Source organism: Homo sapiens, chromosome 10, assembly GCF_000001405.40.
Source record: "Homo sapiens chromosome 10, GRCh38.p14 Primary Assembly".
Classification (NCBI taxonomy): domain Eukaryota; kingdom Metazoa; phylum Chordata; class Mammalia; order Primates; family Hominidae; genus Homo; species Homo sapiens.
The window spans coordinates 129937690-129965592 of NC_000010.11; the positions used below are offsets into that span (position 1 = coordinate 129937690).

At 49.2% G+C, this 27903-nt stretch overlaps 1 protein-coding gene across 16 annotated transcripts in view, besides 5 other annotated features; it reads right to left on the minus strand.

Annotated features, from left to right (window-relative positions):
- EBF3 (EBF transcription factor 3) overlaps positions 1 to 26585 on the minus strand; it is a 129042-nt gene extending 102457 nt beyond the window's left edge. For 15 of the 16 annotated variants that reach the window (XM_011539574.2, XM_047424961.1, NM_001375392.1 and 12 more), the window contains exons 1-6: positions 25946 to 26585; positions 25678 to 25834; positions 25253 to 25316; positions 24482 to 24537; positions 21245 to 21318; positions 19569 to 19637 (exon numbers count right to left, since the gene is read on the minus strand). In XM_011539574.2, the coding sequence (XP_011537876.1) occupies positions 19569 to 19637; positions 21245 to 21318; positions 24482 to 24537; positions 25253 to 25316; positions 25678 to 25834; positions 25946 to 26079 (554 nt within the window). In that variant the 5' untranslated portion in view covers positions 26080 to 26585. Of the gene's footprint in view, positions 1 to 5108; positions 5164 to 19568; positions 19638 to 21244; positions 21319 to 24481; positions 24538 to 25252; positions 25317 to 25677; positions 25835 to 25945 lie in introns of those variants that run through there. The other variant, XM_011539575.3, reaches the window with a different exon arrangement.
- Positions 11403 to 12237: an enhancer, noted in NCBI's record as "H3K4me1 hESC enhancer chr10:131747356-131748190 (GRCh37/hg19 assembly coordinates)". NCBI's record gives its function as "activates a minimal SCP1, AML or CMV promoter by ChIP-STARR-seq in naive H9 embryonic stem cells {active_cell/tissue: H9 hESC(naive)}" and the evidence as "EXISTENCE:reporter gene assay evidence [ECO:0000049][PMID:30033119]".
- Positions 20549 to 21221: an enhancer, noted in NCBI's record as "H3K27ac-H3K4me1 hESC enhancer chr10:131756502-131757174 (GRCh37/hg19 assembly coordinates)". NCBI's record gives its function as "activates a minimal SCP1, AML or CMV promoter by ChIP-STARR-seq in primed H9 embryonic stem cells {active_cell/tissue: H9 hESC(primed)}" and the evidence as "EXISTENCE:reporter gene assay evidence [ECO:0000049][PMID:30033119]".
- Positions 22566 to 23237: an enhancer, noted in NCBI's record as "H3K4me1 hESC enhancer chr10:131758519-131759190 (GRCh37/hg19 assembly coordinates)". NCBI's record gives its function as "activates a minimal SCP1, AML or CMV promoter by ChIP-STARR-seq in naive H9 embryonic stem cells {active_cell/tissue: H9 hESC(naive)}" and the evidence as "EXISTENCE:reporter gene assay evidence [ECO:0000049][PMID:30033119]".
- Positions 22660 to 22864: a silencer, noted in NCBI's record as "fragment chr10:131758613-131758817 (GRCh37/hg19 assembly coordinates)". NCBI's record gives its function as "represses an EF-1alpha promoter that drives an FKBP-Casp9 reporter gene in an ReSE screen in HepG2 liver carcinoma cells {active_cell/tissue: HepG2}" and the evidence as "EXISTENCE:reporter gene assay evidence [ECO:0000049][PMID:32094911]".
- Positions 26712 to 27683: an enhancer, noted in NCBI's record as "H3K27ac-H3K4me1 hESC enhancer chr10:131762665-131763636 (GRCh37/hg19 assembly coordinates)". NCBI's record gives its function as "activates a minimal SCP1, AML or CMV promoter by ChIP-STARR-seq in primed H9 embryonic stem cells {active_cell/tissue: H9 hESC(primed)}" and the evidence as "EXISTENCE:reporter gene assay evidence [ECO:0000049][PMID:30033119]".

The following is a 27903-nucleotide window of genomic DNA, read 5'->3' on the forward strand; positions in this document are numbered from 1 at the left end:
CTGTGTTCCTCACTGATACCTCATCTCCTCACCATGGCCCACCCCCAGGCCAACCTGTCCCGGGCTGTCCCTGGCAGCCAAGGGGAGCAGCTCTAAAGGAGTTCAAGTCCTCTCCGAGCCACACTTTCCCCAAGACGTCACTGTGCTTGACAACTGCTGAGGAATTCCCGGGGAAACATTCCATCCCAGCATCTTATAATATTCCATCCCCCTAAAAGGTGAAGCATGATGAAAACTCACATTTTTTCTAAATAATGGTATTTTCTTTTAAGTAGGCACATGGGTACACTTTCACAAAATGCATTAGTCAAAATACTTCGAAATGGTACAAGCTATTTTCTGGCATGTTCATTGACATCACATACACAATCATACTCCACAACCACGCAAACTGTAAAGAGACCACCATGTCCTTCAGCAGCACCTGGCAGGAGACTCTCTTCTGCTCCTGCTGAGTTTTTGTGCGAGGCTAGCCCCCCGCATGAGGCTTCATCAGTGAGCCCCTCTGGTACACAGACTGCTCTGTTCTAGAACGGAAATTAGTGGGTTTTTTTAAAGTTCATGGCGGGGCCGGGTGCAATGGCTCTCATCTATAGTCCCAGCACTTTGGAAGGCCAAGGGAGGCAGATCACTTGAGCTCAGGAGTTCAACACCAGCCTGGGCAACATGGCAAAACCCCATCTCTATTTAAAAAAAAAAAAAAAAAAGACAAAAATTAGCCAGGCATGGTGGTGCACACCTGTAGTCCCTGCTACCAGGAGGCTGAGGTGGGAACATTGCTTGAGCCCAGGAGGTCCAGGCTGCAGGGAGCTGTGATTGTGCCACTGTACCCAGCCTGGGTGGCAGAGTGAGACCCTGTCTCGAAAATAAAATAAATAAAAGTAAAAAAATAGAAGTTCATGAGGGAAAAGAAGAAAACAATTTAGCATTTTTGATGGGCAGCCCAGGCAGGCACGAGCAGAACGCTCCTCCTCCTTGGCTGTTGTCCACGAGAAAGGTGCGGCTGCAACCGACGAGCACTGCCTTGTGTCCTGGGACCTGGCCTGTGCTCCAAGCAAGTCAAGGCCATTGAGTCAATAGGGGCAAGATGTTACATGGGGGTCTTCGTGGCCCATAAAACCAACCTGGGGAAAGAGAACAGAACTTTGGGGCAGAACCAGGAAGAACCCACTGCAGGCCTTCTGGATCCAGTCAGACTGCCAAGGCCAAAGTGACCAGTTGGCATCTGATGACTCAATTATCCCAACTCCATCCTTTAAACAGCTCCTAGAACCTCTGACCTGTCCCAAACAAATAAATGAGGGCTCTTGATGTCTTTCTTTTTCAGAGGAAACACCAAACCACTCCACTGCACAAAATAATCTGAATCTCAAGTTCATTACATTTCAGAAGCAAACAATCCCACCCACCCAGAAGGTGCCCCTGTGTGTCCTGTGCGTCAGTGGCACACACAGCCTTCAACTTCTAAGACCTGCCTGGAGAGCAGAGCAGTGGCAGCCAAACTGTGTTCGAGCACACTCTGGGGGCAGTGGTGTCAGTGCTGGCTGGCAGCCCTGGCCCTCCTTCCTGCCCTCCACCCTCCCCTCTCCCAGGTCAAAAGTATCCTGCCACTTCTCAAGGGACTGACAAATACGAAGGACAGGGTGAAATCTGAAAACAGCATGATCATGCCAGTCTACATAAGAAACTCCAGACTTCATCAAAAATCAAACCAACCAACAATCACATTAAAAGTTCCCACTGCCATCAGCTGAAACACGTGACCGTTCCTCTGGGCAATGTTCTGACTATGCAGATCTCATTTAAAGACTTGGGGTTTTTGTTTTTGTTTTTTGTTTTGGTTCTGTTTTCTTTGTTTTGCCAAGCGTGGTGAGGAAACAGTTCAAGGGAAATTCAAACGACAGCTGCCCACTCTGCCACAACGTCTGCGTCTCCTCCTAATGCCACCCCGGGGCCATCATTCTGCTCCTCTGCTATGCAGACTTCGTCAGACTGGACACTCTTCCCATGCTTCTCAGCGATCAATGGAGTTAGAATTCCCACGTGGAACCAGAGATCCCAGAGTCAATGGCAAACTTCTGTCACACGCAAGCTAATACCGGACTTCGTCTTAAGTTATTTATAGCCCAGGAAAATGGAACCGACCTTACGGTTGCACTTAGGAGCAAAATCTTTCTAGATACCACGTCCTGAGGACTTACGAGGAGTTATGCTAAGACCTGTGAGAGCCTCTAGTGCTAGAGGGTCCCCCATGCCCCTGTGGCCCACGTCCCCCTCTAGAGGTACCATTCCTGGCAGCTTCCCCTCTGACGGGGATGTATCAGCCTCTTTTCCGAGTACACAACCCCGAGGGCCCACTGGTGTCCAACAGGCAAACAGGGCACAATGGCGTGAGCTCACCTGTGGGTCAGACTCAAGCCCCTGCCCAGGCACACATCTGCACTGCCATGTCACACACACAAACCAGCTGCTTCCCTGCACAGGCATCCTGGGCTCTGTGCGTGCCCACAGCTGTAGGTCAGGAGCAGCCTTCCCCTCCTCCTCCTCACCTTGCAGGCCCTACCCTCTGACCTGTCCTCACAAAACCCCACGCATTTCAAGAAAGCCATGAGAGAAGGGGCTCATCCAGCTCAGCCCTCAAAGCTCAAAGGCAGAGCCCCCTAGCCCTCTCAATGTGAGCCCCCTGGGCCTCCTGGGCTAGTCCAGGATGGGGTCTTCACCACCTGCCCAGCCCCAGGCACAGAAGGGGAAAGAATAAAGGACCCGACAGCCTGGTTTCAAATCCCAGCTATACCCCTTCCCAGCTGAGTGACCTCAAACAAGCTTCTCAATGTCCCCAAATCTGAGGAAATGACAGTCATTATAATAAGAGGGCTGTGAGAGGCATACCTTGTAAAGAGCCCCATGCTTAGTAGCACTTAAAACCATGAGCTGCTGTTATCTCTACTGTGGGCGGGTGAGGAATGATGGCATCTGCCCCTGCCCTCCTCCTCACACCTGCTAGGAAGTAGGGGGCTGGCAGAGGAAGAGCAGAGGTGGCCTCAGGAGTTCTCCAGGCCCCCTCCCCACCCAGGGGTGGCCCAGGATGCCAGGGGAACCGCGGGGGAGTCTGGGCATGGGAAGGCAGAGGGCACCGCCCACCCCGGAAACCTGTCACCAGGGCTGCCATAAACATCCCACACTCGATCCTCCCATGTTGGGCCACAGCAAACAGGACTGCAGCGTAAAACCAGGTAGGTCCCCGGTCCCCCAGCCTCGGACTGCCTGGCCGTGGAGCAGTCCCATGTCTACAATGGGACCCACCCCAGCAGTGAGCAAGACCTGCTCTTAGAGCTTCCCAGGTCCCAGGAACACGTGAGGGAGAGCCCGCCCACTCCCTGAATCTCTCTTGGAAACTCAGTGACAACATGTGGGAAAATGCGTTTATTTTAAATTAGGAAAGTAAAACATCCTACCTCCATAGTAGATTGAGATAAATAACCACTAAATTCAGCCTGTTGGCAGGCATCAAGTTCAAGGGACGAAAGAAACCCATGATGGGCTTAGCGAGACTTAGCAAGGATATCAGCTTACAGGGCAGCAAGGGGTGTCAGATGAGCCGGGCTGGAGCTCCGCACCCTTGCTCAGAAACACAAGGCCTCAAAGCAGGTGGACACGTGACAGGGACAACACAAATGTCTGTTCTGCCCCGGTCATCACAAAAGGTGTGCCAGGCACTGAACGCCTGGAGGTGGCCCAGCAGCCCTTCTTGAGGCCTTGCTTCTAGGAAACCCACCACCCGGGGACAGTGCCAAGACTAGGCCACAGAGGAGAGGTGCTGGGTGAGCACTGGGCACTGGGAGAGAGGAGACTCGGCCACAGACTCCGGGCAGGCCAAAGGGTCAGGGGGGAGCCCTCCAGGCCCAAAGCGCTGGGCACTCTGGCGGCGGTGGAGGTGAGCAGGCAGAGGTGGCAGTGAGGAGATGGCCAGGGCAGTGAGCAGCGCTCCATCCCCAGGGCCTGGAGGCCAGAGAAAGGGGCAAGGCAGAGGCAGGAACCCCTCAAGGAGGCAGAGCTTGGGGACAGGACCAGGCTGGCCTTCCAGAAGGCTTCCTGAGTAATGCAGTGCCAGGCCTGGGTGGAGCTACCAAAGAAGGGCTCTGCAGAGGCCAAAACTGCCAAGGGCAGACAGCAGCCATTTGCGGGGTCATCCCAGGGCCAGGTGCTGGGTGAGATCCCAATCCAGACCCACAAGGGATGACACAGGGAGCAAAGTGAGCTCACAGGACAGACACACGAGGACTTGGCAGTTCCTTGGGAATGGAGCCCCCCCACCCCATTTAAAAGCAGTGGCCCAAGCTGTTGACCCCTGTGTCCCCGCAGCCAGGAGAAACACCTCCTATCCTCAGGGAGCCCCGCCTCACCCACTCAGGGCACCAGGCCTCTCTCAGCATGGACGGCTCCCTGCAGGTTCTTAGCACTAACTGATTTTCATTTACAAGAGCTTTTAGGAAGATAAAAATTGTGCTTAAGTTTTGAAAGATCATCGCAGCTTTTGAGTGATTTTAGGACATTTCCCCAACAAGAAAACATCTTTCTAGGGTGGTCCAGGACCCTTCTTTAGCCCTGTGGACCTGCTTCCCAAGACAGTAATATAAGATGCATTGACAAAAATAAACCCCCAAAATCACAAAAACAAGAAGGGTGCTGAATACTGACGCTGGGGGAAAGGCCTACAGTTAGGTAAATGCCAAACAAAACAAAAGCAAATCAGTGTCACCACTGTGTTCACCTACCCAGAGCACCAGCCCCAGTGGTCCTGCAAGAGCGTCCCACACGCTGTAGGGACAGCTGTGCAGCCTTCATGAGCTCAGGGACAGTCAGGTCAAACCCAAACAGCAAAGCAGACAACTCGGGCCCCGGGGCACTGGGGAAAATTGGGGACTACCACGTCCACACAGGGTGCATTCCAGAGATGGCCTCTCTGCTCTTTTACGCATGCCACGATCACATTTATTTCTTCTAAATAACGCCTGCCTGTCTGCCAGCGTGGTGACTGCATTGGAATGTACCATCAGTAAGATCTTACTTTTAAATGAAATCAATAAAAAATTGTATTAAATACTTACAACTGACTTTTAAAAACCAGGACAGACTCTCCTCCCATACAAATCTAAATTGGGGTGGGAGGGACAGAAATTTTCTGTGCAGAACGCTCAGGTACAGGCGTTTGTTTTGAAGCCAGTTGCCAGATCACGCGTTGACATTAATTCAGCAGACCTAGGAGCAAGATACATTCTAATTTACAGCATGCACTTATGTACTGCTTTCTAATGGGTGTTTTTCTCTGGATTCTAAGAGGAAGGTAGCAGATACAACCGATTCCTGTCCTCCATTCTAAACCACTTTGCCTGCACGATGGGAATGACTGGATCACTCCACCGGCTGCTCAAGAAGCCAACAACTTCCTCCACATAAACAAGGCCCGCCAGAGCCAGAGAGCTGCCAGGCAGCTCTTCATTGGGGCCAGGCCTGACCCGGCCTTCCCAGTTGGAGGGGATTTCAGCGGCTCTCCACAAACAAATAAACAGCAAATACTTACAGGAGACAGCCTTGTAGAACTGATTCCTTAATCAACAGTTAAAGAAGCAAATTGGATTTGCCCTATCACAAAAAAAATTAATTCCAGATTGTAGTTATTGTCTTAAGCACAAGAAGGTTGTCTTATAGGCTTGGCTGGATAATTTCATTTTAAAAGTATCGCTAAAATTTGATGTCCCTTGGGATTTGTGGTTTTCTCCATCATTATATAACTGTAAACTTCTGGAGGTTAGAGATTGGATAATTTCTTTCAGCTGGACCTGGCCTCCAGCGCACTTGGATGCTAGGGATGAGCCTCAAGTGGTTGCCAGGAGTCGCCAGCCGGGCTTGGGAACAAGACAGGTCCCCGGCGTGCACATCCAAAGTTTGAGTGTGTGAGACTTTTCCTCATTTATTTTCCTTCAGACATTTTTTTTTTACCTCTGCTATGAATTAAAAGAATTGCTAGGAATTCTTTTCACAGGCTGCATCTATGCTAGCCAATGAAAACAACACAGAAACAAAGATTCAGTCTCTTTAAGGTTTTTGGGCTTGATCCTTTTGAGCAGTTTTTTTCTGTGCTGAGCTCTCTGGAACCATATGTTCAGCAACGTTATGGAGGGCGCTGGCCTTCGGCGCAGACCCAGCTGAAACCGTAAAATGCTCGGTAAAACCAGTCGCTCTGAGGGTGCAGCGCGTGTGTCCATGGGTAAAATATCTCCCCAGACCTTCCCACCCTATGCGTGATTTCTGAGTTGATTAACATTTCATCTCTAGTGTTATGTTATTATCGCCTTTATGTTTTAATCCATTTTTTACACCGTGGGAAAAGAAAAATATCACCGTTCTAGTAATCAAGTTATTCCTGTAAAATCCTAAATAAAATGAGAATTTTATTAAAGATATTTATCTTATACAACAAGAATAAAATCAATTTGCAAGGCCGGTCCGGCATCCAGTTACAATAACATTAAAATATATTGTTTATTTGCGGGTGGGGTCATTTCTCCTTTCAGATTGGTCAATGAGGGGAACACCAGAGTGCACTGCCTTCAGAATATTGGCTTGGTGGCTGGACATGCAGGGAACATTTTTATTGTTAATCAATGCCAATCAATTCTGAGCCTTGATGTTAAATAGGGATCAATACCGCTGGGCTGCAGATGAGATCTGATTTCAATTGGTGAGCAAACCTGCAGAAGTTTTTAATCATAAGGTAAATCAAGACCTGGAACATAAGTCAGATGAATTAATATAGGCGGTGTAGGACCTCTCTTGCCACTGATCCAGCAGAAGGAAATTTCTGTCATATTTCATTATCACTCTTAGGGTAGGCTGAAGGCAGCGTTTGGGGAGCATTTTCTTAGTGGAAGCTGGAGCGCCCCTCACACCACACGGTGAATCCTTGCTGCAACTGAGCCTGCTGGTCCACCGAGTATAGTTATACGTATGCCCCATGAATCTCATTTTATGCGATTAAGATCCATAAAAATTCAATAGCTTTTCTTCTGCAATTCACATTTTACCTGGTGAAATATCATAAGAATTTCATTATCTTTGCAGCTGTTGCCTAGGATCAAGCAAAGGTTATTATCCTCTTCGAAAACACTATAGAATATGTACGAAAATGTCAGGAGAACTGGGCATTTAAAGCTTGATTTTTTAAAAGAAAAACACTGTCTGAAGTTTAGAATAAACTGTACTTGACATTTATGTACCATGATGCATTTCTTGGTAAACTGATTTTGCAAGGAAATTCTTTGAATTCGACTCTGTGACCAGATTGTAAAAGGAAAAGGGAAGATGGGCGGGGAGGGGAGGGGAGGGGAGGGGAAGAGAGGAGAAGGGAGGGGAGGGGAAGGGGGGGGAGGTGAAGGGAGGGGCAGGGAGGGGAGGGGAGGGGAGAAGAGGGGAGGGGAGAGGAGTGAAGAGGAGGGGAGGGAGGCCTGGGGGGATCTGGAGGCAGAAGCGAGAAAGGAAGCAGAGGGAGGGAGGGGGAGCAATGGCAAAGCACTCCAAAACCAAAGCTCTCCCCACATCAGTCTGTATAGGATTTCCTAACCTTTCAGATAACCATCCCTCGAAGATAACTCGGGAGAACCCTAACCGATTGCGATGGTCTAATCCTATGGATCATTCAGGCCCGTTTAAAGCATTTGAAGAAAAATGGCCAGTGCAAAGAAGGTGATTGATCAGAGGGCTCTGTAAATCACACGGATTCCGTACAGTCCTCCGGCCTCCACTGCTAGGGTTCCATCTATGATGATAAATTAGCATTAGATGGAACCTAATGAGTTTACTAAACATTTGGGATTTGTGCTAATAAACTGGCTGGCTGTGAACTAGCAGAAGCGGTGCAGGATCCCGGAGCTCTCTCTTATCTCTGTAACATGACAGTTAAACCATGCGTCCAATCTGCGATCAATTCATCATCCGACACCATTGTACATTCTTCACAAAAAGATAATTACTGCTTCCCTGGATCAGAACACTCATATTTCCTTGGAATTGCAGGTATGATAGCAGCCCCTGTCACCGCTCCCTTCGAGCCTCACCATACAGCTCTATTTATGATCATTATTTTCGCCTAAACAAGCCTTTTTCCTCAACTTGATAACAAAACCTGCTACAAGGAGAAGGGAACAGTTAAGACATTGTTTCTCTGTGGAGTGCTTTTACGTTTAGTGGAGGCCGCTGACAAATATTTTATTCAGGGCATTAGTAAAAGTTTCCACTCGTTAGAAGATATCGCTACTATTTCCTTCCAAAAAAAAAAAAAAATCCTGTTCCTGGCTCTGATTTGTTAAACACAGACAGGGAGTAAGAGCAGAGCAAGTAACGTCACAGGGAATAAATCAAAACATGATTAAAAAGACCGTAGCCGTTTTAAAATCACATGCCCGCGGATTCCCTGCTTCTCACTGCTGGGCCCTCGGTCCTGGCCTCGCGCGGACCCGCCCTGGCGACTGGTCAACTCTGTTTGACCCCCAGCACACGCAATAAATTACCATAACACACAACTCTGAAACAATGTAAATTAGTTACTGCTCACAGTCTAATAAATGGGAACAAATGTGTTTGGGGCTGGAATGGGGTTCTGGATGCTGTAATTGCTGAAAATAATTAGAATGGGGTCTGAGGAAACATGAGCGGCAGTTACTTGTCATGACAAATGTCCCGAACCCGGTAAATATGCTGCTGACCGCAGGACTCGGAGCAGCCAAATAACATTTTTCCTTAAAGTTAAATGTCTCATAAGCCTCGCTTTATTCACAATCACGTATGAAAGAAGTATTTTTAAAACTCTAAGGCACATCTATGTGTCATAATATTCTGAACCAAGACAAGTTTATTTTTGTTTCTGAGCTTTCTCTTGGATTGTTGTTGGCGTGCCACACTGCAGACGAGGCCATGCGTCCCAGGCAAGAGCTCCGGTGACCAACAGAAGAGGGAGAGGATCAGTGCCCCCACATTGTGGGGAGCAGGAAAGGGCAGAGTCTATTTTTGAGCCACACAAAGGTGCACCTCTGGATGGGGAACCTCACCATTTATTAACTTGCATAACTCATTTATTTGTTCAAGGTAATGATCTTTGGGGAAAGGGCTGTTATATTTAGAACCTGCTTGTCAAATTTAATAAATGATAGTGATCGCTGGCCTCCCCCTCTGCAAGCACTTTCCCAGGTCCTTCCACCTTTCCCTGGGGCCTCGCTGGCCGGGGACCTGGCAGCCCATGTCTTGGTAACTGATGGCGGCTGCCCAGTGGCTGGATCGGGCCGATGACCTCGGACAGTGGGGACCAGCAGCACGTCCAATCCAATCCCCCACTTGTTTCCTGACCCAATCTTCCTCGTGTCAGGGGACGAGCCGCTTCATTGAGAAAATGGAAATGGACAGGGAGCTCCCTTTGGCAGCATTTCCAATAACCAAATATCAAGGAAGAGGGGCCGCCGGGGGACCACCCCATCCCGGCACACTGATCTGATTTACAAACCTTTCCTAATGGGAAACAAATGCTGTGGGTGTGAATTCATACTTAACCATAAAAACCCTTGCATTACTCTGTCTCGTATTAAATACCACATATAACTCTCAGCAGGTTTTATGTTGTGTTTTACTGTCAGCAATGGCTAAAGCTGGCCTAACATTTTGTTTGGCAATTAGGAAAATTTGTACTTTAATTTATTAAACCAAAAAAGCCAACAACTGCACTGAATGCTGAATTCATTCTGTTCTTATGCCACGGTGCAGTATATTTGCCTTCCCAATAATTTAATCATTTTCCTTTTATGGCCTATACTATTTACATATTCCAAAATAGTATTATTGAGGAAATAAACCCCTTATAATAAGTGAAATTGAGCAATGCCACTTAAATTCTGAATATAAAGTTAAAATGTTTTCATTTCTTTCTTTGCAAAGGAACCAAATGCTTTGAAAAAAAAAAAAAAAGAAGGGCAGGACGGGCAAACTTCTGAAAGCCTGGTGAACCCCACTGATGACATCCAAACACCGAAACATGACCTGCTACCTTGACAAGCTCAGGAGTGAAGGATTTCACTTCTAAAACACCAAGACACTGAAAGGAAGGAAGCAGAGTGCCCAGTAACCTTTAAGAAGAAAAAAAAAATTATATTCAAAGAGAGTATTATCGGTGAGCTAAAAAGTCACAAGAAGACATGCAGGAAACTTAAATGCCTACTGCTCAGTGAAAGAAGCCAGTCTGGGTGAGGCACGGTGGCTCACATCTGTAATCCTAGCACTTTGGGAGGCCGAGGCAGGTGGATGACCTGAGGTCAGGAGTTCGAGACCAGCCTGACCAACATGGTGAAACCCCGTCTCTACTACAAATACAAAAAATTAGCCAGGTGTGGTGGCGCATGCCTGTAATCACAGCTACTTGGGAAACTGAGGCAGAAGAATCACTTGAACCTGGGAGAAGGAGGTTGCAGTGAGCCAAGATTGCACCATTGCACTCCAGCCTGGGCAACAAGAGCAAAAACTCCGTCTCAAAAAAAAAAAAAAAAAAAAAAAAAAGCAGCAGCAGCTAGCCTGGAAAGACTACATAATGTATGCTACCAACTCTACAACATTCTGAAAAAGCAAAACTAGAGACACAGTAAAAGGATCCAGGGGTGCCAGGGGTTCAGGAAAGGGGGAGGGGTGGCTAGGTGGAGCACATGTGAAACTATTCTGCACGGCACTGCGATGGCAGGTACGTGCCACGATGCGTTTGCCAAAACCCACCAGATGTGCCACACCAAGAGTGAACCCAATGTCAACTGCAGACTTTAGTTCATATTCGTGTATCAGCATTGGCTCAGGTGTAATGAGGATACCACACCAAAGCAAGACGTTAACACTGGGGGAAACTGGGGGGTGGGGGGAGGTGGGGGGATATGGGAACTCAGTACTCTCTGGTCATTTTTCTGTAAACCTAACACTGCTCTAAAAAATAGTCTATTCAGTGTTTTTAAAGCGTTATGAGAACACCTTTAAATCTGCATCAGATGCAGAGGAAGACAAGGCCAGGTTAGGGGTGCCTGTTGCTGGTGTGGCTTCAATGTCCCTGCTTCATGCCCTGCCCCCCAGGCTGTTTGCATCTCCCAGTCCTTCCTCCTGACTATGGGATGTCATTCTGCAGAGCCGGACGTGTGGTTCTTGACAATGAAAACTTGGAAAGGACACCTGCATTAATCTGTCAGAAGAGCATTTAGGCCCCTGCCAGCCATATCCCCTGGTGCTGAAGTTCTTACAAAACTTAAGAGGCACTCGTGCAGTGGCTCATGCCTGTAATCCCAGCACTTTGGGAGGCCAAGGCCCGAGGATCACCTGAGGTCGGGAGTTCAAGACCAGCCTGACCAACATGGAGAAACCCTGTCTCTACTAAAAAAAATACAAAATTAGCTGGGCATGGTGGCACATGCCTGTAATCCCAGCTACTCGGTAGGCTGAGGCAGGAGAATCACTTGAACCCGGGAAGCGGAGGTTGCGGTGAGCCGAGATCGTGCCATTGTACTCCAGCTTGGGGCAACAAGAGCAAAACTCCGTCTCAAAAACACACACAGAAAAGAAAAGAAAAGAGAAAAAGAAAACTTAGGGGGCACTCAGGGAGGAGCCCCTCCCTAAACCAGTGAGCAGCATCCCAGGCTCCAGTGCCAAGAAGACTAAGCCGGCTTTCCTGGGTGTTACCTCAAATAAAAGGGACACTCCCCCATGGGGCCTAAATGACCCTGTTCCAAGTGATGGGACTCGTGGGGGAACGTGACCTTTGATGCAGGCCCCATCACTGCCCAGAGTTGGGGTGACCCTGCTAGGGATCCCCACATGCACGCCTGGGGAAGGCGCACGCTGCCTGCCCATGCCCATAATCAAATCCCGGGCTTGTACTGCACATATGTCACCCTCGGATGGCCCCAGCCCAGGCACAGGCCTCCAGACCTGTTCTTCAGCAGCTCCCTAACATCCAGATTGGCCATCTCTGTGCAAGCTTTCTGATTCAATGAAAACTTAGAGAAAGCGGGAGGGGGTGCAGTTCCTTACCAAACCATTGTGGAAACCTGGACTCAGCTGGCAGGCCTCAATGGTCAGGGTTGGTCTTTCTCCCTTTGTAAATTCATCATCACAAGGGCAAATGCTTTTAGGGCCTTAAACACTGCCAAAGTTTTGTCTCCTTCTGTGCTTTAACATGGCACCCTGCCCCCAACTGCTTTCTGCTGAGAGGGACAGAGGAAAATATAGGCAGGAGGGTGGAGGGTGGAGGGAGGAGGGAGGAGGGAGGAGGGAGGGGAGGGGGGCGGAGGCAGGGGCGGCGGCTGGAGCTGCCTGTCTGGGCAAATGCACGGCCTCCTCTCCAGATGTGCAGGCAGCTCCGTCTTCCAGCAGAGACACGCTGGAGCCGACTCCTTCCGTTCGCGGGGCCTGGGCTCCATGTCCTACAACAACACAACCGCGAGCCCCTTCCTTTCCGCACATGTTAAACTCATTTCCTAGTGAATTACTGGGAAGGCGCGGCTGCTGCCCCCACCACCGTTTGCAGAGGATGCGCCCCATCCACTCGGGCACCACAGCCCTGCATGAATTTTGAGTATTTTCTAGCTGAGCAACTTCCAGCGAAGGAATTGGAGAGGGATCGTTTTCATTTGTGTTGTTTTTAAGGGGAAGGGGAAATGAGTGATTCAAAAACAACTAAAATAAGAGTTTCCCTATACCCCTCCCTGCAGTGCTCTCTATCGAATTGTTGGCAAATTTATAGCATTTACTCTTTTGACAGATATGTCTGACCTTTTTCTGAAAACATCGTTTTGAAAACAGTTTTCTCAAGCTTCTACAATTTAATGAACGCTGGTTACCCCAAAGTCTAAGAAGCTTATAAAATTCAACAAGAACAACAACAAAAAAAAACCCCTTAACCCATGAAATTACTGCACTAATTTTTCTAAATGATAGCCATATTTTTATTAAAGCATGAATAATGCCAGCATAATGTCTCATTATATAGAGTTTGGACCACAAACATTTTTGGGAGATTTGCTATTAAGATAAACAAACAAGAGGAGCTTGTGTTCTGGCAAGCTGACGGAGGGAATGGTTTTCATTTTCTCCAAGTGTAGGCTGCAGAAGCTTTGCCAACTGCAGGTTAAGCTCCTTGAGTTTTCACTTCCTGTACCCCCACTTGTCAATCACTTCCTGTCTGCAATGACAATTTCCATCATTAGAGCTTGGAATTTTTATCTTCTTCAACGTGTCTCCCTTTGCCACTGTTTGAATTCTGATAAATTATTCACCATCTTTAAAAAGTAACCAACAATTACAGCATCACAGTGAGCCACCTATGCCTAGCAAAGATCACCGTCCTCCTGGTCTGTCTCCTAAAGGCTTTGACGAGGCCAGCTTCTCCTGCTTTCTTCGGCATCACGAGAAGGCCTCTGGCCAGCCCCAATTATCTTCTGGTGCACAGAGTAATTATTTGCTTCCTGTAAGCATGCGTAACAGAACCTCGAGTTTGGACGGCTTTCCATAAAGTAATCCAATTCACCCATGCCATCCTAACACAATTACAGGCACTGCAATATCTTCGCTCCTCACCTGATAAGGCTGCCGCAGCGGTGCAGGATGCTTTCCGTCAACATGCCTCCCAGAGTATAGCTTCTGACAGCCCTGCTTCCAGCCCTTGCCTCCACCCCTGCACGTTCATACCCGGCTGCATGCTGCTGCAGGGCCTGGGGAAGGCAACACCACGAGGTTTTCACCCTTGCACAGGCAGACGGGAATCCGAGTTGGTGGAGAGTGATGCGGAAGTCATTGTGGGTGTGTAGCTTGTTTTCAAACCCAGCCCTTGACTGGCCTGGCGGTGGAGTCTTTACCCAGCTCAGGCAGCCATAAATCTCGCAGGCCTCCTAGGCCTAGGCCAGAGATGCAGGCCTGGGCCTGGTGGTGGCCCTGACCCACCGCGGCAGGCGACCACGCAAGCTGTGACACACAGCGGAGGCTAACCGTGCAGCCGGCGTGGTGCACACCCGCATCTCAAGCTTATGGGCAGGGCAAACCTACAAAGTGGGCACTGTTCCTGGCGCCTCCCTCTTTAAATGAAAGCATGCCATTGTGCCTCCATAATGCAGCTCTTCCTTTTCTGTTTATTTTCAGAAGTTTAGGGGGAAAAATTGAAAGGATGAATGAATGCAGTGAACTTTTTGCCTCTCCCTACTGGCGCTGCCAGGGAATAAAACAGCCATTCACACCTGAGCCCGGCGAAGCCAAATGGGGCCGGTGCCAGCCAGAATCAGATTCTTTGTAGCCACATCCATTCATCCAAAAGGTGTTTTAATATTGCCAAATTTCTAGCCAATACTTTCCCTTCACTGAAGGCCCAATGTATTAAAACAGACCCTGAACCAAAGAGCATCTCCAATGCACAGCCTCCGCCAAGAGAGGATCTCCAGGACCCCAAGGCCTATCCAATGATAATTATATTCACATCTTTAAGAAAACTGAGAAGGAAAAATTAACACCAAACTATACTGTTTTCATTGCATTATGCAGATGAAATGACAAGTTGTCATTTAAGAAGTTAATAAACAGTCTCCGTTTTGCAGGTTATCCAAATGCTACTGAATAGAAAACCTTGGATCCCTAAATGATGTGTAATTAATATTATTTTTAAAATCCTCCTTGACAGGCCGGGGCTTAGCCAAAATGTAAATGACATTAAAGAAGACAATGAATTTAATTTTATTTAATGTCCCTTTTTGCAGATCCTCATTTACATAGCATTTTTAACAAAAGCGTTGACCTTATAAATGCTGGCATTTGTACAGCTTCAGCAGAGTTGGATTTAATCACGCTCGTGCAAAGCCATGAGGGAGGAAGCTTTAAGTTCTCTGCTTGGAGATGGAGTAGGAATAAAAACATTGGGACTGGTCAAATGTTTATCCTCCCCGCTTCTGAAAACAACCTGACAAGAAGATGTAAAGGGCTAGGGAATAACCCGGTGCTGTTTGTAAGGCTTGGTAATAATCATACATAATCGTTTGGAAATATAGCTAATAAAAAATATAATGAGTGTTCAGCAAAATCGGCATTAGGCCCAAATTACACGATATTAATACTTGAACAGGTGCAGAAAGGCGCTTTAAATGAGGTAAATGAATAAAATGTCCCAGAGCACAACTGTGTGTGCTGACAAAAAGTCAATCCCATGAATAATTCAGTGAGCAGGACTGCCAGCAAAGGTCGGCTCTCTTTGACCTTTGTGACAGGAAGTGAAAGGAAACACTGTTGACTAAAAAAAAAAAAAAAGAAGAAGAAGAAGAAAGAAAGAAAAGAAAGAAGAAAGACAGAAAAAAAAATCTCCAATCGTTGGGCTACCGTTCCACAGTCACTTTAAAGGTGTAAACTTAAAACGCACATATGAATCAAAGTATGGCTGTGCAGGGTAGGGGGGGCGCAGAGCTGAAATGGGGGTAGTCAGGTCATCTGACTAAAGACAATGTGAAATCACAGACAATGGAAGGTTAAGCAAATAATATTTCCCTATGACACAACGTCAATTACGCATAAAAATCTGAGGTCAGCTGAAAAGTATTTTCAGAGCCCACAGGATTGAAATTTTATAACAGCTGTTAAATATGACAAAACTTCATCCTCCCCCCTCTTCAACCCCCACCAAAACTAAAGCAATTCCAAACTCTGTATGAAAGAAAATGGGATAAACAGATGTCTGGCTTCCAGACAGGAAAGTAGGACAGACTTGGAATGATAAGTCTCCCAACTCTATAGACTAATGCCAGATTGATTGGGGAGGGGGCACCGCCTGCCGCAGAGATGCCAGCGAGTGGGACGCCGGAGACGGTGCCATCTGGAACCGCCCCGCCGAGCCCGCTCCCAGCGCTGCATGGAGCCCCTGCGTGTGCCCGGCCTGCCTGGGCAGCCACAGCCCCTGCTCCCACCACCCCTACAGTTGGCCTCCCCACTTTGCAACAGTTGGACCTTGCACCTTCCATCCACCCAGCCCAAGCAAGGAGGGGGAGAAAAGGAGTATACACCTTCCTGGGCATTTCCAGAGCTCCTTGGGAAACAGACCGGGATGGCACGAGCAAGTGATGGGAGCCAGAGTGTGGTGTTGGCTTAGCAGCTACACCGACATCCTGGAATCATTTGCAGCCCTTGGAATGCACGGGTGAAACAGGAGAGATTTATCTGTTCATAGTTGGGATATGTGGACAATGGGTGTTCCTAATGAAGACCATCTGCTTTTGTGTTTTCCCAGAAAACATTATTCCACGAGGAAAATGATACTCCCATCCTTTTCAGCAATACCATTAAAAATCATTTGTGTGTGTATGTACAGAAGGTGTACATGTGTGTTTGTGTGTGTGCACTCTTCCTTTACTTGCATTTGGTTCTCTGCAGGTCACACAATCTACCATAGATACTTTTTTCCTGTAGTATCTCTTTATTGACCATGCTTTTTACTTTACAATGTTATGTTTCTTCTTTGCTCCGTAAGTTGTTATATTATTTTAAATATACTGCATATAGTTATAACCATGGTGCTATTAAAAACTTGTTCCTCTAGCAATGTTTTATGAGAAAGAAAACAGTTAACATAAGTGAAACCTTTGCAGTGCATGAAATGGTTTTGTAATGGGAAACAGCCTCACTTCCCCCCCCCCTTTTTTTTTCTCTGAAGGGTCTTCATGCCATTCATAAGTATTTAATGCTTCTGAAAGATAACTGAACTAAATTGTGTAATTAATTGATTTAAGGCATCAGAGTCTATAGAATGTGATTACCCTGCCAGAGCGAGGAGCTTACTTCTCTGTTCTCATAACACAGAAAGGCAGTCTCAACGTGCCGGGAGAGGCTCGGTGTGGGTTGGAACAAATGTGGGCCCATTGATCTCAATTCAGGTTGGAATTATTGGTTTATATCCTCAGGACAAATATGCCTTATCTGGTCAGAACCTGCTAAATGTATCCAAAGGCCACAAGGAGCCGGCAAAGCACGTTGTATATAATTCTTTTTTAAGCCAACTAACCAAATGAGACACTGCTGATGGGGACCTGGAAACTGACTCCCCAGTCTGGTGGGACATTTTATTCTGCAATACTCAAGAGAAAAGACAGGCTAGAAACTCAACATAAGCAACTAATTTTCAGAGGCAACATACACCCCACAGAAATGATTATCATTATGAAACTGAAACGCATCTCAGTTGCAAAAGACGGTGTCAGTCTAAAGAGATTGCCCTCCTATAGGTATTCCTCTTTCTCTGATTAATCTAACTTGCCCTAGTGAACACTAAATTCTTCATTTTTTTCACGTAGAAATATGCCGTAAGCTGGAGACAGTGCCAATACTGCAATCATTTCACAGGGATTTACAACAGACAACACAATGCTAATAGTACTTTGCCATTCTAAGTGACAGCTTTCTTAAGAATGCTAAAAATGTACATTGTATTTGTCATTTCATAAAACTACCCTCACCTTAAAATCCCTAAAATAGACGGTGATTAAAATTTCTATAAAATTGTCATATCTTTGAATTTAGGAGCAGAGCAGATTTTTCATCAATAATTAAGACCTCCAAAGCATTTATGCCAGGCGTAAATGGAGCTTCAATCCTCCTTATTCAAATAAACATGGTAAACCCATTAACCAAATGTTTTTACGTTTTTCCCCTCCTCTCATGCTTCTAGAATATCAAATAATCACACACTTCTCTTAGGTTATAAAAATATGAGTAATCTTAGCACATATTTTAATTAACCAAATATAAGACAACATTCAGACGAGAATTAAGGAATATATTTCTGCATATCTGGGGAAAATATTTCCCACCATATGATGAACACTGAGTATTAAAAGTTATTCAGCATCAATAGTCAATAAAGGATTGAATGTTGCACAAATCCAAAGTGATTTTGAAGGGAAAACACAGCATCCAAAATGTGAGCCAAATCAACATGGCTACTTCATCATTGTGGCATGCTAGAAGTCTCACACTTTATAAACAAGTCCTCTTTTAAAATTTAAAGTATCACACAAAAGATGAAACACTTTCGCAATCCTTCATTTAAAGCCAACATGCACTGCCTTTTCAAGCAACTTAGACAAGACTCCAATAGTTCAAACACTTCTAGCCAATCAAGAAAATAAAATAAATTCAGTTACAAGACAATAATCTAAGGCTATATGATTTCCATGGCCACAACACTAAAGACAGATATAATTATATTGATTTTCATAGTTCGAGTTCTATAAAGTGTTGAACTTGTTCTCAATTGCCTGAGTGACAGCCACAACTGGTCAACCCTATTTGATTACTAATAAGAGAGCTGTCCCTTCTGTCAGATACCGAACATTCTCCACTAAGCAAACAGCTATTCCAGCTAGTTAAACATTAGCATTGCTCTCCACTGGTGGCGCATATTTCTTTAGGCTTAACTCATGGAGTTTTCCGGGTTTAATTTTTCAGACACTGGACAGCAAAGTTCATGATCAAAAGATAACTTTGTAATGAAAGCTGCGGAAATTCAACCCCTCTTCAAAACCGTCTAAACCTCTGCTTCGCAAAACTGGTGTCATATGTACACGTCTAACATTTATTCAATTTGGGTACCAATTTCAAAATCTGCAGTCAATCACACGCTGGGCCTTTTGCTGCTACCCATTGTTGGAAAGAAAGAAATCCTCCTCTCCTGCACGGCACCGAAACCCAGCGAGTTGGGAGAGGGCTGGGCGAGGAGGGTGGTGGTGTTTTTGTTGCTTCAACTAAAGCTATGCCAAATGCACATTAGCACCATTAGGGCTACTGATTGGTATCTTAAAAGGATGCAGCATTGCCCAAGGAATATGAGAAACAGCAAGATGAAGAGCAGCAAATGTAAAGAATGCATACAGCTAATCGAGTTATGAAAATTAATGTTGGAACATGTAACCAGCATGTGTAATTAGTTTCAATTATAACAAGTTTGGTTTGTTAGTTACATATTTGCTACTTGACATAAAACGACAGCTACAATTGGAAAAAAATTAGGACACATTTTGCAACTAATTGAGAGCAGATTAAATTCATTCTAACGCTGGGCAACAATTACAACAGTAACATCACCCAAGTCTCAACTTCAACTATCATCAGAGATAAAAATAATGTAAAAATGAAATACTTGTTAACAAATTAGCAAAAAGCATTTTATGACACATCTCTAGGTTTAAAGCCAGAAACTCTCTAGGCATAAAGTGCTCCTCACAGCGAGAGCAGTGGCAGATGAAACTGCTTCCCTTGACAACTCACAAGCAATTACTGAATCCCCACAGAGCGAGCCACCAGGTTTCCAAGTCAACCCACCTGTGCATGATAACACACGCGGACAACAAATGGTGCAATGCACAAGATGGGCTCGACACCAGCCTCAAAAATATGGAGCAACTGGAAACCAAGCAAGGCAAAACGTTTTGTTGCTGCTGCGGTTTTGTTTTGAAAAATAAAGAAGTCATCCTTACCTGTCAATGATTACAGGGTCTGAGGGCGTTTCGTTTCTATTGCCACAACTTTTCTTGTCACAGCACCGGCTGTGGAGCAATTGTAAACAGTGGTTTTAATATGCATTTCCCCCTTTTATGCCCGACTTGTATTTTTTTTTTTTTCTGACGTCTGACAATGAAGCGGTAGGAGTCAACTACCAAGGCAGTTTGGAGAATTTAAACCCAGTGAGTTCACGTGTTCTGCGGCTAAACTTACGATGTAACTTTCTACCGGAAGGAGCAAAGTTGAACCTATCTGTTAATACCAGGAGGGTAACCAGAGTACTATATAGATTGTGATGCTAAAATATGGAAAACATGTTGTCGGTGTTTGTCTTTGCAATGAACTGAGGAGAAGGGAAGGCAGGAGGCTTGGGAATAACTTTTCACAGCTTCGGCTTTTGTTTACCTCTAATTGTCAAGCTGTTATTTCTGGAAAAGATGCAAGATGCCACCTTCAACCAATATTTCTTTGGGGCATTTATTAATTATAACCACAAAAGCATGCATCCATCTATCACAAACTTCTATTGTTCCTTCTTTAAGCCTACCTTAACTCTGTTATTGAAACTTTAATTAAAGCAGAAATGAAACAAAAATGTTATGCTTCTTGCATTTTAAAAAAGCATACTTGTATAATGGTTACATGTCTAAATTAGCTAAATTAACACCATATGGTAGGCAAAGTATATAAAGCCTTTTAAAGCTGACAGCTAAAGTGATTAAAGAAAGTCTACAGTCTTCCACTTAGAGCTTAAATCACATCTGTGCGCTTTCTATGTTAATTGCAGTACATGCAGAAGTGGATAATAAAGAAATTCCACTTTATTGGTTGTAATTTATATTTATTACCTGATATGAGAAAAAGTCAGCTTTTGTATATTAGTGCTGTAACAATATGTCTGCTCAGAAATGGCATTTAGGCAACCGGCATCATAGCCAGGCGGAGTATGCCCCTCAGAGTATGCGGCCTGCTACTGTAGCCTGGAAGCCTGCAACGCTTTCCTTGCTATTCCTTGCAACTATATTTCACATGCCACACATACAAAGTCAATGATGCATTTTTATTTGCCATGTAGGGGTGAAACTCTTGTGGTAGTTAGAAAAAACAGGTGGGAAATTGCTCTTCTGACAGAGATCTCAAGTAACGGGCACGCTATCTAACAACGACACGAACGCTGCATCGCTGCTCTAGGGAAGAGGTTAACTGACAGAATCACAATCCAATTCTCACATACACGCGCGCTATAGTAAGTACAAAAGAGTTTCCTTTTTATCAATAACAGACAATTGTATATCTCAGGATGCGAGCGCCTGAGAAGGAAGTAGTAAAATGATTCCGAGTGATCCCTGACTCCTCCGGCACCGCGGACGGATGCATCACCCAGACCTGTTTTCATTTTTGACTACACTGCAACGACACGGCCCACATATTAATCCGCTCTGCTGAGCAGCGGGTCGCGTTGATCGTCAGCGCTGGGGGGAAGGAGCGCGGGCTCCTCCGCGGCCCGGCGCGCGGCCTCGGGCCGATTACATTTCAATCGATGCCCTTCCCGGAGCTGGGCGGGGTGGCGGCGCCTGGACGCGGCGTCCTTTGTAGACGCAGCTGGCGCCGAGGCAGCCCGCGCCCCCGCCGCCCGCCGCCCGCCGCTCACCTGCACATGATCTCGTGGGTCAGCAGCACACGGCACATCTCCGGGTTCTTGTCCTGGCCCTCGTAGACGATGGCCTGCGCGAGGGACAAGCAGAGGCTGGGGTTACGCGGCGCCCGCGGCTTTGGCGCCAAATCGCCCCGGGCGCTGCAGGCCTGGCTGGCAGCAGGTGCACCACGCTCGAGGGGAGGCGATGCGCCCCCCTCCCTCGGCCACCCTCCCGATGGGGTCACCCTCGGAGCTGGGCTAGGCCGCGATGGCTTCTCCCTCCCCTGCCTCCCAGCCTCCTCCCCCGGGCGCCCGCCAGGCCTGCGAGGGGCCTTCGGCTGCAGGGAAGGCGCCGACTGGGCTCGGGCCGCGGGGAGGGCAGGGCGAGGGAGGCCGGGGCCGGGGCGCAAGGAGCGAGAGCCCGCTGGCACCGACCCCGGAACCCGGGGCTCCCGGGCCCCTTCGGCATTCCGCGCCGCCGCCAGGCCGCGTCCTCAGGCCATTGTCTACAACGAGTTCCAATCTGCATGTTGGGAGAGGCCGATCAGAACGCCCCGAGGCTAAAGAAGCAGGGAAGGATGGTCGCGGCGCAGGAGCAGTTTGCCAAGGGCCGAGGGCCGCGCCCGCCCTGCCCTGCGCGCTCCCCCGGCTCTAGCAAGTCTGGCGCCCCGCGGCTTCCCGCGGCTTCCCGCGTTCCAAACCCAGGCGCCCGCGGGGAGCAGGCCGCCCTGGACCGGCCGCCGTCCCGAGCTCCCGGGGCCTCCCTGAGTGGTGGGCAGCGACCTGGCCTCTGCACGCTGCGGGCGGCCTGGGAGCCCAGGCGGGAGGCCCAGGAGCAGCAACCGCACGTGGGCCGCGGCGTCGCCAGCGCCCCGCAGGAGTGCCGGGGCCCCAGGGCGCCCGAGCCCGCGCGGCCACGTGCTCCTCGCCGGATGATATTTGGAAAGAAAGTGCTAATGGCCAATCTGGTGTTTATTTTGAAACTGCTAACAGTGATTTTTCTCGGGTAAAAAGGCAGTCTCTGCGCGCACGCTCGGGTGGGTTTTGAGCAGAGGCTCCGCCAGATGGTGCGAAGCCCTAGGTGCGCTCACGGCCGCGCTCAGCCCGGCTCCGCCGCTGGGAACCCGAGCTGGGGATCGGGAGCCGCCCGCCCGGGCTGGGCCTCCACCACTGGCCTCGCGAAAAAACAGAAAAGAAAAAAAAAAAAAGTCTACTGGGGGAGGGGCGGGAGGCTGGGGCCGGGAGCTCCAAGTTCCCTGCATAAAATTCCACGGAAGGGGGAGGGATGTCCTCTTCTCCGGTTCCCGCCCCCACCCCTGAAAATTATCTGGAAATTCCTTCCAACCTCCCCGGGCACTTCTGACACTTTCCTCTACTTCCAGGCGGACAAAGCCCTTTCTGGTGAAAGCCCGGGGCTGCCCTCCTGGGAAGAGGGAAGGTTCCCCGCGAACCCCGCTCACCCAGCCTCCTGCCTGGACCCGGCTCAGAACCACAGAAGTGATGGGTGTCACCGCAGGCCAACGAGTCGCCTGGCGCTGCAGGGCGCGTGGCCGCGGCGGGCACCAGCGCTTCTGAGAGAGTGGCTTGTCCTCCGATGGATCGCCGTATTTATATTTGATTTATTTTTTATTTTGTAGCACAAACAGAAATCCATAAACTGTCGGTTCAGCGCCATTGACTCTTTGATCAGTTACTGGGCTATTTCTTTCCTTTTTTTTTTTTTTTTTTTGCCCCTCCATGCCCGTCAGTGAGAGGAGATTAAATGCCTTTATTTTCAGCCCTGTTTATACTGCAAAGGTACAAGGCTAAATGAACAATAAAAGTGTACTTAAAACGAAGCCTCCTCCTCCTCTGTGCAACAACAGAGAAACTTAGGGCTGCCTACATAAACCTCTTAATTAGACTATAGCGATTTCCGAAAACATTTAGCCATTATATACAAAGGAAATAAAATCACCCTGTCAACCAGCAGCCGGAGTTCCAGAGGCTTCTCTGAATCGAGTGAAATAATTACAGAAGGGCACACCGCCTCTGTCTTTGTCAGAAAGACCTTAGTTTACCTGTCAGATCTGTTTTACTCTAAGAGAAAAGCACACTGGTTTACCACTGCAGGCATTAAAATCTAACACCCTTGCTACCTAGGTAAGGACAAACTTTTTAAAGGGGAAATAAAATGTGCAAACTAATTGCATGCAGAGAGTGGGAGGCATATGTGCTGGGCTGCAGGAAGCCCCAACGAGCTCTCCTTTACTTGGCTCACAATTCTTAAAGTTAGCATCAAAACCGAAGAAGCCACTTTCATTTCTAAGTGTGAAGTCCAGCTTGGAAGTATATTTTAAAACAATCTGTGCCGAGTGGATTTAATCTACAAACTGGACCTGCCCCCCTCCCCACCACAACACTCTATTTTAAGAAAATGGGGGCGGGGGGAAATCTTTAAAACAACCAAATCAACAACAACACACCACCCAGCACAAAACCAGCAGCCAGAGACTGCACAATGTCAAAAAGCAGTGACGCACTTTTCTCCACTTAATCACATTACTGATAGCCAATAGTTATCATCGGAAAAGTTGACCAAGACAGGTTAAATAATTTAATAAGGAACTGCTTGTAATTATGTTATTTACAAGGTATGACAGAGGGTGGGAGAGGGGGCAGAGCAGTGGACGGGTTGGAGTGACCCCTGGAGCTTGGAGTTTGAATTATGGAGCTGGGGGGCTGCGAGGTGAAGATGGACTAGAGGAGAACAAGGTGACTTTTCACCCCAACACATTTAACTTTTAAATCCAAATAAACGTCTCGTGTTACTAGACCATCACACTGGAAAGGAGAAAAAAAATGAACTAATCAAGTCCAACTCGATGGGCTTAGGAGTTAGCTGCCTTTGTTATAGGAAAAAAAATCCAAATGAACTGATTCCTAGCAGAGAGAGAAGCATTTAAAAATAAACAAGAGGGGGGACATCTTGAAATTTTTGTCAAATATTAATTACCATAATTAATTAAGACAGAATATGATTCCAATCACAAGACATTTAATAAAGCATATATGTCCTGTTCTAATGACAACATAAACTATTTTACCAATCGCTTCATTCATTCCAATAAATATGGAATTCTCATTAGCATGTCAAGGAAACTCAATGGAAAACAAATACACGAGATCCATTTGTCAGTGCCCTTGCCTCTGAAGCCCAGGACAACCCAGGCCCAGCAGTGAAAACTCGTGCAGAGGCATAAACTTTCTCACCTGTTTGGTCATTGAATCTATGAGGCGAACATACAGATCTTGCTCTGTTCTGACTCCTGCAAAAAAACAGAGACAAATTCTCATCAGGATTTGAGTGCTGCACCTCGGGGAGGGCACACGGAGCACAGGAAGTCTGTAACTCAGGACTGCTGCCACGGTGATGCAGCAGAACTTAGGCAATCCCTTTGAAAGGGAGAAAGAGAACCCCACCACTTCTCGCTTAATTTTTTTTTTCTTTTCTTAACTAAGAACCTTAAGGCTCTTAGGGCTTGCATTTCAAGGTGCAAGGAACTTGCCTGGTGGAGAGCAGGCCTGGTAGCTGTGTGCGGTGGGCCCATGTGGTCGTTTATTTTTAGAAAAGAAAAAGCACCAAATGGAAACTGAGTGAGAGGCTGAACTCTTTCTAATGTCTCTCGAGGATTTAAAAAAAAAAAACTCGTTCACAGGAAGTAAGTTATGCTCCGTTTATGGAGTTACCCCCATCCTAATAATTAACATTAATTTGCAAAATTGAAAAAAGTCACTTAAAAGTGATGTTCTGCTGGAGCCCGTATCGATCTTTTTCTTACTTTCTACTTCAAGCCCCACCGGTTAATCATGTGAAGTGCCATCGACTTATTGATCGTTTATGTTTTGTTTTCCTTCTATGCCATGAGAAGATTTCGTGTTTACATCCATGTCATTTTAATCTCAAATCTTTATGTCCTTTCACCAGCGCAGAAAAGGAGAGCCAGCCGCTGCAGGGGCGGCGAGCACGCAGCAGGCACTTACCGTTGCTGTACAATAACTGGAGTTTATAGTGGATGCCGTTGTTGGTTTTCTCGTTGTTTGGCTCCTGAAAGTAACGATAAATAATTGCATTTAGTGCGATCGGTGTCAGGCGCGGCCACCACGCTCGGTCCCCCTCCGCGACCGAGGCTCTCGGCCTCACACATGGCAGGATTCCTAGCTCGAAGCAGCGCGGTGATGTCACTTTCCTGCTGGAAGCCCAGCGTTCTCCTCGCCCCGAGTAAGTCCGAGGGCGCAGAGAAGTTGCCCAGCCCTCGGCGGTCCCGGGCGGCCGCACGTGGCGGCGGCGGGGTGGCCTGGCGGAGCCGAGCCCGCCGCCTAGGGGGGCACTCGAACCCCCGCGCACCGGCACCGCCTGCCTCCCGCTTCTAGAAAGAGAGAGGGTGTGATCGTGTGTTTGCACTTACTTTCTCTTTCTCCACAAAGTCCACAAAAGCGGTCCTTTCAATCTCCACCGGCTGCCCCTGCCTATCGTAGAGCGCCAGCACGAAGTGGAAGAAATTGGATTTCCGGAGGTTGGAAGGCGGCTGCTTCTCGAAGTGCGCCCGCGCCAGCCCCACGCCGCTGCGGGAGGAAAGAGACAGCGGCCCGGTGAGGAGCGCGGCGCCGGCCGGCGGAGGGGGCCGGGCCGGGCCGGGGCCGGGGCCAGGGCGCGCGGGGGCGGCCGGTACGTACCTCTGGGCGGCCGTGTTGGCGTCCACCACGCCCGCCGTGTGCATCCACGAGCGCACCGGGTTCATGCCGCTGCCCAGCGGCTCCTCCTTCATGGTCGTCCCCCCGCGCGGAATATTCTCCTGAATCCCAAACATGAAAACTGCTGGCGGCGGCCGCAGCTCCCGGCCGAAAGCGTTTCCTCGAGCAGCGGCGCTCGGGGCTTGGCGGCAGGCGGCTGCCCTGGCCGCCCTCGCCCTGCTCGGCGCCTGCGGTCCGGCCCCGCCGCCGGCTTCAGCCCGTCCCGGGCAGGCGCGACATACACCAGCGGCCGGGCGCTCCGGACGGCCAGGGGCGCGGAGGCGGCTCCACCGGCGGCGGCGGCGCTTCGAAGGAGCAGGACGCGGTGGCCGCGGCGGCGCTTGTTGTTGTTGTTGTTTGCAGGCGCGCTCAACGTGGTGTCATCCTAGCCAGGCGGCGTCCGCGGCTGCAGGACACTGCGGGATCGCCCGCTTCTGGCGCGGCCCGCCTGCTCCAAAGACAAATAAACGGGGCAGTGAGTGCTGCGGCGCAGTCCCGGGCGCAGGCGGGGCGCGGCGGGGCCTGGAGCGGCGCGCGCAGCGGACGGAGGCGCACAAAACTCAGCCCTCTCTCCCCGAGGAATGGACCCTTTCCCGGGAGCCAAAACTCGAAGCCCCCGGGAGCGGCGCTGTCAGAGGGTGACGTCGGGGGGCGGTGCCTGCGCCATATATGGGAGCGGCCGCCCCTCGCCGCGCCCCTCGCCGCCGCCGCCGCCGCGCTCGCCGACTGACTGCCTGACGGCGCCGCGAGCCGGCCCGAGCCCCGCGAGCCCCGCGAGCCCCGCCGCCGCCGAGCGCCACCGAGCGCCGCCGCCGCCCCCCGCCACGCACCGCGGCTCCTCGCGTCCAGCCGCGGCCAAGGAAGTTACTACTCGCCCAAATAAATCTTGAAAAGAAACAAACGCAGCCACTGCACAATTGCAGTTTGGCCCCTTAATACCTCCCTGCAAAACCTGCCACACAGTCGAACACGATGGGCGGGGCGGGGGGCTGTAAAATGCTGAGGCGCCCCAAGTTGCCCAGATGCATGCAATAAATGCAAGGGGCTGCAGCTTGTCCTGGGGCCGCCCGAAGGAGAAGTGGGAAGAGGCAGGTCGACCGCAGGGAGGGCGCCGGAGGGAGGAGCGGGCAACGGACTGGGAGGAGGGGTGCCCAGGGCTCCCCGGCCAAGGCTGGACGCGCAGCTCAGCCTGATTTCTAAGCAGACCTAAGGCTGCTGCAGGGCCGGCCGGTCCCGGTCTGAGCCCCGCCAGGTACCCCAAGCTTCCTACCCCGGCGGAGGCCGCCGAGTGCCGGGCAGGGAATCACGTCGGAGGCAGGGTCTGCCAGATGCTCCCTCTCCCCCGGTGGCCGCGGCAGACCCCGGCCCCTGGCCTGTTCTTACGCACAGCGAGTGACAAAGAAGGCTCCGGTCTCTCCGGGCCGACGGGAAGCGCGCCCGGCCTCTCCGGCGACCCGGAGCCGGGTGTCTGGCTGCGCGACCTGCGCGGTGGCCAGACCGCCCTGGAGCCAACTGCTCCAAAAACCAAGCGGACGCCGCGGGCGCTGTGGCCCGGCCCTCGGAGCCGCCGGACCCGGGTGAGCGCGCGGCGCGCGGCTTCCCGACCTGGTTTCTAGGAATCGGGAGGGCAGCCGGGCGCGGGCAGACTGTGGGCCCCGCGGCCCAGCTCCTGTAGCCGGGACTCCGCGCCCAGGAGCGCGGCCCGCCCAAAGGACGTCTGCGCGACACGGAGCAGAGACCCAGGGGACGACCAGGAACTGTCCTAGGCACTTCCCTGCCAAGAGAAATCAGGCCCTTTTGATTAAAAGAAAAAAAAAAAAAAGATTGCAGGGCGCAAGTGTGTTGCAGGGCAGCCTCCTCCCGCCGGGTCTGGGGCAGCACTCCCTTTTCCCGTGAATTGG